This window comes from Homo sapiens, chromosome 12, assembly GCF_000001405.40.
Source record: "Homo sapiens chromosome 12, GRCh38.p14 Primary Assembly".
In the NCBI taxonomy this organism is placed as follows: Eukaryota; Metazoa; Chordata; class Mammalia; order Primates; family Hominidae; genus Homo; species Homo sapiens.
Genome location: NC_000012.12, coordinates 21,262,799 through 21,274,964, shown reverse-complemented (window position 1 = coordinate 21,274,964; position 12,166 = coordinate 21,262,799). Strand labels below are relative to the sequence as shown.

General features: G+C 34.5%; 1 protein-coding gene across 42 annotated transcripts in view; it reads left to right on the top strand.

Moving 5' to 3' along the window:
* SLCO1A2 (solute carrier organic anion transporter family member 1A2) overlaps window positions 1-10,365 on the top strand; it is a 155,035-nt gene extending 144,670 nt beyond the window's left edge. For 35 of the 42 annotated variants that reach the window (NR_170341.1, NR_170340.1, NM_001386881.1 and 32 more), the window contains 2 exons: window positions 379-496; window positions 5,198-10,365. Coding sequence is in view for 39 of the 42 variants with exons in the window: in NM_001386881.1 (NP_001373810.1) it covers window positions 379-496; window positions 5,198-5,417 (338 nt within the window). In the remaining 3 variants the exon portion in view is untranslated. Of the gene's footprint in view, window positions 1-378; window positions 1,024-1,579; window positions 1,685-5,197 lie in introns of those variants that run through there. The other 7 variants (NM_001386887.1, NM_001386958.1, NM_001386946.1 and 4 more) reach the window with 4 other exon arrangements.
* Window positions 10,366-12,166: the final 1,801 nt, after the last annotated feature.

Below are 12,166 nucleotides of genomic sequence, written 5' to 3'. Positions count from 1 at the left end.
AAAGGCCCTGTCTGACCTTAATTACACTATTCTTTGTTTGAAGATTTGAAAATAAAATGAAAGAAAATGCTCTGCCCAAATAAAATGTACATATAACTGGCCCAAAACATTTAAGAAAATATATAAAGTTCAGAATCTTTAATTCAATGTTTTACTCTACTAATAATTATGTTGCATTTGACCATAAGATTACTTATCTTTTAATAATTTAGAAACTTTACAGTAAAAGTAACTCATCATTTCTAAAAATAAAATTTAGACCATTAGATTTATGTTTTGATAAACTTTGCCGTACAAATAAAGAAAATTGAAATATTTCCAAATAAATCAAGTATCTTAATTCTTGTTGATAGATTTTTCTTTCCCTGTCAATTGTAGCTGGCATTCCTGCACCTATATATTTTGGCGCTTTAATGGATTCCACATGTTTACACTGGGGAACTTTGAAATGTGGTGAGTCAGGGGCATGCAGGATATATGATTCCACCACCTTCAGGTAAAGATAATAATTTGTTTAAAATTGTTTTATAAGCATAGACTGTGCATAACGCAGCACCATTCACACGTAACTTTTTCTTTGTCAAGTGAAAAGAATACTTTTGTGGTTATTTCCAGCAGAGATACTGATGTTATATCTCCATTCCTTATTTGCATACTAGAATTGTATTTTCCCATTATTTCTCAAGTGCTTGGTAAATATAAGCATACATGGCTTCCCTAACCTTGGCTTTCAAAGTGTTGTTCGTTAAATTCTTAGCAGTCAACACAATATTGAAGGTAATGGTTGTACACTGATACCTATCCAATTTATATTGCTCTCTAAAGGCTCTCATTTTATCCTGCATGATTTCATCATCTCACGAGTCTGAAGCCTCACTTCCTCTCACCACCAGTCTCTGGTCTCCAAAATCATATATTTTCTCCCTCTTTACATTTTGCTGAAACAATCTTCTTCATGTCTCCTAATGCCTTCTCTTTGGTAAATACAAATCTAATTTTGAATAAAACTCTTTGTTATTTCTATTTTCATGTTCTTTTTCATTCGGAAATTTGAGTTTTGTTTAAATTTGAATTAACTTCTCTTGATGGGGCAATAATAAAGCTACTTCATTCAATATAAAACAATTTACCATTGTTTAAAGCATTCTAAGATATTGGTCTTGATCAGCAAAAGGACACATATCAAGAAGTATGGGGAGAGCAGACGCAGGAGATTCATCTCTGCATCTATTCCCCTTTCCCCCAGAGCTCCCCAGGAGTGATGCTGAGGGAAGCTCAGCTACATGCTATGTATGCGGTGGATTTCTACCACAGTTGAGGAACCCCAAGGGTCACTATTGAGGGTTGGCCTCATCCTGCTACTTGGATTCTTGTTGATAGTCTCCTGAATTAAATGGTGCTTAAGACACATTAAACGGACTTGGCTCCATTCTCTGTTAGTCAGACCAATTAGACTGGTCAATGAAATGGTGTATCCATGAGAAAAATCTACCAGAAGCCAAGATATTCTAGAAATAAGGGTAAATATTGTTGGTAGACAATTCTCCATGGATCCCTACATTTCTGCTTTTCTTGTTAGCAGGGACACTGAGAGCATTTTTTCTGGACTATATTTTCAAGGATGTTGGAACAGTAAATGACCTTGGAAGATATAAATAGTGTCTCTCTCAAGGACAGAGGGCAGGTAGCTTGTTGTCCATGATGATAAGAAAATGTCTCCCTTTGGGGCAAAGTTTGGGCAGATTTTTTTGAAGCCCATTTAAAAGAAAGATTGGGATTTCCTAAACTCAGGACTTTCTAACTGCAGCCCAAATTCACTGTGTGTACAATGTTTACCTGGGTTCTCCCTCTGTCTCACCACTTTGGGACTTGGAGGGTAAGGAAAATCAACTTGAACATGAAGCTTGTGCTGACTGCTGTGTTGTGAGTAAAAAAAGTCCTTTGTCCCTGACCTATGAGTCTTGTATCTTCTGTTAGCATCCTTGAAACTGTGGCAGGCTAGCCTGTTAGCTTACAAATGAAGTAAAATCTTAGACTCTTTTACAGTTCTTGAGAACAAACTTCTGATTACCTTTACATTTTCCTAAAAATGTGAAAATGATTAATTAGATTTATTCCAACCAATAGAAGGGGAGAAAATGCAGTAGTGGTAATTCATAAGAAAAAACCCCACACAAATAAGTTAAAAAATAAGCCTAAGTGGTTTTGCAAATTGGTTAAACTTGCTGGTTAAAAGATAGTAATTTTTATATTGGACTTTTCAAAATTTGAACTAAATGTTGTTTGTAAGAGATAGATAGATCAAAAATATAAAATGATTGAAGATAAGGTTTTGAAAAGATCTACCAGACACATACTAAATCAACTTCTGTAGTTATATTAATGATTTCAACAAAATATAAGTAAGTTAAAGGGAAAAAATTAATAGGGTTAACCAGAGATATTACTTAATAATAAAAGGAAAACACTATAAAAATATAGAAAAATTATGAAGCTATGTAAATCTATCAACATAACCTCAAATATACAAAACAAAAATTTATAAAATTATAAGAATAAATCTACAGAATGGAAAATTTCAATATACTTGTCCCACAAATGAATATTAAATACAGACAAAAATGAGTGATAATATAGAATATTTCAACTTCAAATTGTACAAGAGTAATTGAATATACAGATAAATGTATATTCTGTATAAACATATATAATCTGTATGAATCTATAATACATCTATATCTATTTCTACATGAATACATGGATAATTGTTAACCAAAATACGAGCACCTATGCCACTAAAAAGTTAAAAAAAAGTATTGATACCACATAAATCCTGTTTTCTGTTCACAATGCAATGGAGATGAAAGTCTATAATAAAAAATTCCCAAACCCCAAATGTTTGAAAAGTGGAAAAGAATGCAGTCTTAAATTACTCATGGTTAAAAGAATAAATTATAGTAAACATAAATAATTAGAACTGTATGTCAATGAAAGCACTGAATAAGAAAACTTGTGGGATGAAGCTAAGCCAACCAGTAATCAAAGGGATTTTTAGAGCTTTAAATGTATAAATATATATACACATATGTATATATTTGCATATGTACAAATATATGTATATAAATATGTATATAATATATACATATAAGTACATATATACATATTTATTTACATATGTATATAAATGTATATTTACATATGTATAGCTATATTACATATGTAAATATACATATGCAACATATATTCACATGTATATACACATAGGTATATATGTTTATATACACATAGGTATATATGTTTATATACACATATGTATATAAAGATGTATATATTTATACATTTAAAACATAATATGTATAAAAATATATACATATATACATTTACACATAAAAGGCTGAAAATTAATGAACTCAGAATTTAGAAAAAGAACAATGAAATATGTACAAATGACATAGAACGACCTGATAAATGACTCAAAAATTTACATATTGATATATTTCCTATCTCAAATAAGAATAATTGAAACAATATATTTTTAAAATTCAAAAGGGACTTTTCTTGATTAAAAGACAATATAAATATCATCCTAAACATCTGGTTTTTCAGAAATTAAACAGAAACATAAAGGAGTAAACAAAGCTGAATTCACAGGCTCTATGTCTCAAAATGAGCAGTGGTTTCTGATATCAGCTTCCAAGGAAGAATAAGGTACTTCTAAGTCAAGCGACTAAATTCAGATTCAATGCTTTAATCCAATTAATGAGGTAAAACACCTTTTACAGGATTTAGTGTTCCTCAAAATGTGATATTCACTCAGAACTTCACAATGTGACCTTATTTGCAAATAGAGCATTTACAAGTAGAGTAGTTAAGTTAAATGTGGTTATACTGGATTACCATAGGCTTAAATCCAATCACTGGTGTCCATTTTTTTCTGAATCCTAGTACTGTTTCATAATAAAAGAAAATTTTAGAAGTAGAAAGATAAAAATAGATGAAGAAATTAATAAATAGACTATATACCATAGAGGGAATAAGAAAGTAAAGAGCTATGTTTTTGTAAAGGTGCAAAGATATTACTAATAACAATACTGTGGAAAGGCAAATAAAGAGAGGAGGCACAAATAAAACATCATTAAGGATGAAAAAGCTAATATAAGTACAGATATTATAACACTTACATAGGGATTTTAGATATAACAATTTAGAAACATATTAAATAGATATTTTTCTAGACAATTAATTATATATTACCAGATTTTATTATAAATCTATAGAAACATGAATATTTTTATAGTTACTTAAAAATGTAAAACTTTCAAAAGTGCTCATCTCCCAAGGTACCAAGTTCAGATATTTTTCAGGAAAGTCTGAAAAAACCTACAATGAACCAATGATTCATTTGTAAATTATGCAAGTTATTCTCAGAAACAGAAAAAGGGAAAATTTTGTAATTCATTTCACAAAGCTAGTACTATCTTAATAATCACACTGGACAAGTTCAGTACAAGAAAAAAATTTGTAGGCTAATCTTATACATGCAAAAATTCTACATAAAAATTGATAAATTGAATCTAGTAATGTATAAAAATTACAGTTTATTTTAAGCATGCAAGGATAGGTCAATATCAGAAAATCTATTGGTGTAATAGATGCTATTAACACAATAAAGGTAGAAAACTTTGCATATTCTTCCGACTACAAGCAGAAAAGTTATTTGGTTATATTATGCACATTCATGATTAAAACTTTGAGCAAGCTCACAATAGAAAATAACTTCCTTAATCTGATCAAGGTCATCTAAAGAAACTCTCACAAGAGTATATATTATAATTCATGATGATTCTTTGGAAGCATTCTTACTAAATACTAGAATAAAACTGCTATCACTACCAGTATTCATTTTGAGGTGAAGATCCTACTCAATGAAAAACTAGTTAGTTATAACAACAATAATAAAACATTAGAAAAGATGAAAATAAATTTGGATTTTCTCAGTGGGAAAATTAAAAAAACATAAAATATTTTAACAAATACTGAAATTAATAAGAGAGTTTAGCAAAGTTGCTTATATAAGATCAGCATGCAAAACCATCAGCTGCTGTTTTTATCAGAATAAAATACAAAGATATACAAATTTAGTTTGCACTAACCACACTATGTAATATTTAATATGTTTTAACTTTTAAAAAAATAGATACATCTACCTCGGATTGCCGGCAGCACTAAGAGGATCAAGCTTTGTTCCAGCCTTAATCATCTTAATTCTTTTGAGGAAGTGTCATCTACCTGGTGAAAATGCCTCTTCAGGAACAGAGCTTATAGAGACAAAAGTCAAAGGGAAGGAAAATGAGTGCAAAGATATATACCAAAAGTCCACGGTTTTGAAAGATGATGAATTGAAAACTAAATTGTAATTGTCCTATTATATTACTTTTTTCAGAATTAGAGAACATGCTGTACAACTTAATTGTTTTAAAAATCAGTAGAGATATAATAGATAACTTTTTCTTGTCTTTAAGAACCTAAAAAACCTCTTAACTCAAAATAATAAAATGTTCACTAATGATATTTCTAAGGTATCAGTGACACTTGAGTTTTCCTAGGAGGGACATCAATAACAGCCCCCTAAAGAAGATTCTTAGAGCCAGCTTTATTTTTATGTTGAAACAGCAATTTCCCTTAATTCATCGAAGTAAGGGTGTACTTCCTACATCTCCTTCTACTAATACTTCTAAAAATTTTCTGTTATGAAAACCTATTTAATTCCACTAAATTTGTTCTTTGATATTGGAATTATTCAGATGCCTAAATTCTCATTCTGTTATGTGAAGATTTAAATATTTTATTCAAGTTTATCGCTTCCATGTGAGAGAAGCCTACATCTTCTTATTCTATTTAGGAATCGTTCTTTAACTCTTCTTATTCATTCTAGGCATGACTCCTATATAATAGATTACTCATAAATATACCCTCCTACTTTCAATTTTTTCTTTTCTTTATTACTCATACATTTGCTCAATTTGTACAGAATACTGACAAACTTAAGCAGGTTATTAAACATCATGAGGCAAAGATTGTTGGATTTTTTTTCAGTAATTCAAATCCAGTGACTAAAGTTTTTCTTACAAACAAGTGTCTGAATCAAAGGATGAAAGGACAATATTATAAAAACTCCAGTTCTTAAAGGCTGTTTGTAATGTCAGATATTGTCAAAGAACCACTTTCTAAGATTCAGGACTCTTTAGACCGATGTTTATATCACCCATTGTGTCCTAAGGTAGAACACAAACACTAATTTTCCCAAAATAATCTTAGACAATAGCTTCTGTTATGAAACAGAGGTTAGTAAAGGCTAAGGTACATATTAAAAGCTAAATCTACTTATATTATTATTTTGTAAATTATGGATAAAATTAAAAATTGAAGGATTTTAGACATAGAAGAGGACTTATTGATTAATATAGGGCTTCTGGTAAAAGAGAATAGAATGAACAGACAAATACCTGTTTGTCTACTCCTTACTCTCCTTCCTGTTGAAATGACAGTCAATATATAAGAATGACATAAATCCCTAATGGATGAAGAGAATGGAGTAAGGAAGGGTGGGAGAAGTGGGTGTCAATACACTATGGTTATTTATGTGTACTATAAATGGAGTGAGAGTGTCTGCAGGGATACAACAGAGTGGAGGAAGCTGAAATACAGAATATACCTAGAAGGAGCCTGGAATGGAAGTGTGAAACTGAGTTGCCAGTTCAAAGTGTGAGTTGGTAGCTGGACAGAAAGCAGGCCAGTTAACTGAAGGACTTTGTACAGATGCTTTACAGGTTAATATGATTTCCTAAATGATCAGATGCATCATATGAAAAAAGAAAGCAAATGAGAAGAGAAAGGCTGTATAGAACAGGTTTAGGGGGAAGGATGAAAAGTTAAGTTTCAGTTTCATGAAGTTTGAGACTTCAACTCTGGGCATATAAAAAATAACCAAGGTTCAAACCAAGACTGGCTTTGAAACAAGAGAGAGGAACTAAAATCATTGGAAAGGGGGAGTTTAACTTTGATGTAGGTATGACTGCAGCAGTGAGATATCGTATTAAGATCTGATGACATGAAATTTGGAGCCACTTCCTTTGTGGTGGGAGGAAGTGAGGAGAATGGCCTGGAAACTAAAACAAGGAGAAGAGACTTACCTATATTCACAGAGCAGCAAGAAAAAGTAAACAGCCACTGCATGAGAAGGTTTCAGGGGAATCAGATTTTGCTGAGTGTGCGATGGTGAAGAGAATGCTCATTTCTGAACTGGAATCTGAGCTAAAAAGAAGCAAATAGGATATATATGGAAGTTAGACTTATGGAAATTAGAAGAAGGGGAATGAGAGATAGTTTGGAATTCTGTGGCTATTTAGGTGACTGACATAAATGGGGGCAGAGGACATAATGAGGTTAGTTCTTACGGATTCAAGGCAGATAGTGTTGGTGAAACAGTGAGTGTCAAAATTAGGCGAGGTGGTGACTGGGCTCCCTGATGACCTCTTGTCGTGGAGCAAAACTGAATAAGCAAAAACTTACTCAAGCTCCTGAGGCCCATTCATCATCCCTATTGATAGATTTGAGGTGATCTGAGAAAGCTGAGTCTTGCTTTGTGGACAATTCACCCACTTGAACTCCCTCAATGGAGCATCATAGGCCCAGAGAGACATGGCTATGGACTTAGTACCTTGGCATCACTTTTATCCCCTCATGGAGGAGATGGCATTTTACTCTGAAAACATAGGGTTCTCCTTTGACACTTCTTGGTGGGAGAAAGCAGGTCAGAGAAAGTGGGTGTTGGAGTGCTTTGGGATCCCTCATGACCTCTTTTGTTGGTATACATGAAGCCTGGGAGTTTAGTTCTTATTCTGAGCACTTGTACTACTCTCATGAGGGTAGAGATAATGGCATAGCGGACAGACATGGAGAAGAGAAACAAGAGAACAGGTAGTGAGAAGTCGAGAGTCAGTAATTTTCTTACTTAATATTGTGGGGATCTTACTTAATACATAAAGTTAATGAAACTAGAAATAGTGGTTTAATATATTACTTATAATTCAAAAATTAACCTATATTTACAGATGCTTACACAGTTTCTTTGTGAATCCACCTATGGTTTTATTTTAATTAATTTTTTATTGCAAAGCAATGAAATGTTGCTTTGTGGAGCCAGATAGCATTACAGCAGGTAAATGGGTTTCTGCTAGATCTCCACATTATTGGGGAGATGCTCGAAGACCTCAGAATATACACACCCTTAAGGTTCAAGGGCTGGGGTTGAGCTCTCCATAAGGAACTTTTCCTCCTCCCAGAAGGGCGATCATTGTGTATATAGACATGGAGACAGAACCAGAATGACTTCTGTGGGTGGAAATAGTGCCATCAGAATCATTTATTATTATGAAATAAATATTATTTATCTACATTGAAAAAATACTACTCCTCCTAAAATCATTAACTTTTCCTCAGATGATTTTAAGAAATTTGAGTAATAGCACACGAAGTGGTAAAGACCCTTAGTCTTTCTGGTATATTAGAAAAGCCTTTTAATCAGTCTCTGGAAGGACACTAGGGATTGCAGCTGAATAAATATATTAAGAATAACAAATCAGTTCAACAAGGAGTAGAGTCTGAAGTGGGATTTTCCGTGGAAATTCTCTTATGTCTGTACTAACAATAAGAAAGACAAGACAAAGACTAAGTAATTAAAGAAAAGCTCGAAATGTTTTGTAACCAAAAGCTTGAAATGTTATGTAACCAGAATGTTATGTAACCAGAGCTGTTAGATCAGATACTGGCTGATTCATAGGTGAACGTCCTCTTTGTGGGTCCTCTCATGCATCCCCATTTTCAGAATGTAAATAATTTGGCTTTGTAGCCCTTCCAAAAAGGGTACTATCCCACTTCTCCTGGCATAAATCATACATTGACTGAACGTTCACCATCTAAAAATCACTCATGCTCCTTGAACCAAGGTGATTATCAGAGACAGCTCCTGGTAGAAGAGGTTGTAGATGTTAAAAGAGTATGATTTCTATATAAGAAAATATAGAAATTGACAGAATGGTTCTTATTTACTGGGCCTGGAGAATTCCTGTTCTGGCATTCTTAGATCCCTCAAATTTATTACCAAGGGGAAAAGGAAAAAGAGGCAAGTAGGCAGTAGGGTAAGCTGTTGTTTGCTTGCCAAGGAACTGGAGAGTGCAGGTTTCAAGACACCTTGAGGAAATTCTCCTGAGCCCTTAGCCAAGAGAAGAGAGCAGAAAATGCTTTTCTGTAGAATCCCAAGAGGCATAAAAGAGGATGAGTAACTGGGTCCTGTGCCAAGTTCCCAACCCCTAAGCCTTCCCAACATGGAGAAACTACACCAGTGTTTAAAAGTTTCTAGGTTGGAGGAACAAACTTGAGCATCAAGGGCAGATGATTTGTTAACACAGTCCTGTGCAGAGGGCTCCTTCAGAAGGCATCCCCTGTGACCCAAACACAGTGAGCACCTTCTACTTTCTGGCCTTATGCCATCAATGCATCCAGCTGCAATCTATCCTCAAACCTGGAATCCATCTCTTGACTTCCCAGCCAGACCACCTTCCATCCCTTCACTGTGTCCCACCCTGCCCAGAATGCATGCTGTTCTCCCAGAGTCTCATGGAAATAAGGCCTTGCACTGAAATAGGCTGTGGGAAACAAAAGGATAAGCAGGTCTGGACCAGTCTGTAATGGTAGCAGGTGAAAACAACTTACGGAAAAACACATGAATTCATTAGGAAATAAGGTGACAGATCCCCAGCTGCTGAAGAACTAGAATGTCTATTACACTCATACAATTGATGTTTTATTTTAATACACCAGAGCTACCACACAAAACTTCCTTCCATGTGAAAGGCTCCAGATAAAATTCTGCCATCCCTCCTCTCCTCATGTCCTCCTGCTCAGACCCACCTTCATGCCCCTAAACCAATCTGCATCATGCCTGTTTCAGAGAGTCATGGGAAGATGGGCAGTGCCTCCATTGTCACCATTCCCCACACCTCTGCACACTTCTGCCCCTTCCCCTCTAGACGCCACAACTTCACAGTCTTACTGTTGTAAATATTCCTGCACAGTTAGTAATGATCAAATGATCCTGTGGTCAGAGGCCTCTTTGGCAGTGTCTTCTTACCCTTAAGAAAGGTCATGAAATCCAGAAGGGGCAACCTTTCCAGGAGAGCTTTGGAGTCATTTCTGTGTGAGACACTATTGCATAATCCTGTAAGATTGCTTTTATATTTAAGGAATGATGTTACTTAACAAATGAACAAAAAAAATTGCAAATAAATTTTTTAACAATGTTTACATTGGCTTAATCATATCTTCTCTCTTCCATGTCCCTTCCTTTCTCCTCTTCCCTAGAGGTCACAAAAATATACTCCACTTTCAGTTATCTAAGTTGTCTCCCCTCCTTCAAAGGGGAGAAAGGCTGGAGAGAACATGGGAAACATGAATCCAGTGATAATAACCTCAGTCAGCAATTAATCTCATCATCCAGTTTCTTCCAATGCAAGGGTTAACAGGAAAATGGTCAAAGGTTGACAAGAAGAAAGAATTGGAGGAATTAAATGGTTAATTCACCAAATGTAAAATGCCCCCAAACTGGAAAAGCACTAAATTAGTTTTGAAGGAAGAACAGAAGGGAGGAGTGAGAGAATATAGGAAGAAAGAAAGGAGAGGAGAAAATAAAATAAGATATAAACTACTTTGAAGATTATAAAAATGCAAGGTTTTGTTTCTCTTTTTTATTGTAACTCAGATGAAGCTTCCAAAAACAATTATCTATGTAAAAATAATTTGTCCTAGAGGATTCTGGGAGGATAGCAGAGTAGGGAGCACCAGAAATCTGTCTTCCTACTTAGACAACAAATTCATTGGCAGATTATGTCTTATGTAACTATTTTGAAACTCTGGAGCCTACTGAAGGCTTACAACTTCCAAGGGAAGGCTTAGACATAAATTGAGGTTAATTTTGGTCAATTTCAGCCATTAGTAGAGTAGCAACTACCCATCCCCCACTGTCAGTTCCATGGCAGGCAGCTGAGCACTTGTTCCAGGAGCAGCTTGCATGCAGTGTGTGGGGGCCAGGGTGGGCAAAATCATCCTGTTCTTCAAATTTCAGGTAGCTGTTCTCAGAATGCTGGTTGCTGCTTCTAACCACAAAGATGCAAACACATAAATGGGCAGCCATTGTTTTTGCACCTCCCCTCGTTGTTGCAATCCCCTCCCTCATCAATTGAAGTGATTTCCAGAGGATTTAAAGAGCCAGCACTACTGTTCCCCCTTCCATTTTTTAAATTTTTCTCCCTTTGGGAGCCAGACATTAAAGACTAAGATATTTAATAGCAACTCTATATATAGGGAAAATTAGAAAGGTACTGCACATGGCCAGGAAAAGACACAAGCTCAGAAAAGACCAGAGATATCAAGTTTACACTTTATGCTGATCCCTGGCACAGAGGCAGCATGTAAGTATTAAAAACAACAACAGCAAACCCTATGGAAGGGGAAATAACTGATTTATAGTTACAATATTTTTAGATTCAAATGTCCAGCTTCCAACAAAAAGTCACAAGGCATATAAAGAAACAGAAAAGCATGGCCTATTCAAAGGAAGAAAATAAATCAACAGGAGTTGTTCCTAGAAAAGACCTGATGGTAGATCTACTAGACAAAGACTTTAAAACAACTCTCTTAAATATGCTAAGGAAAGATGTGGAGGAAGTCAAAAAAATCATGTGCAAACAAAATGGAAATATCAACAAAGAAATAGAACACTTGAAAAGAAACATTTCTGAAGCTGAAAATACAACATCTGGAATGAAAAATATACTAGAGGGATTCAAAGGCAGGTTCAAGTAGGTAGAAGAATCAGTACACTTAAAGACAGGACAATGGAAATTATTGAGTCTGAGGAACAGAAGAGTAGAAGATTGAGAAAAAGTAGAGAGATCCTAATGGACTTGTGGGACACCATTCATCAGACCAACATGCACATTGTGGAAGTCCAAGAAGGAGAAGAATGAGAGGAAGACGAAGAGAGAATATTCGAAGAAACAGTAGCTGAAAACTCCCTGTATTTGATTAATAATATGAATATAAACAT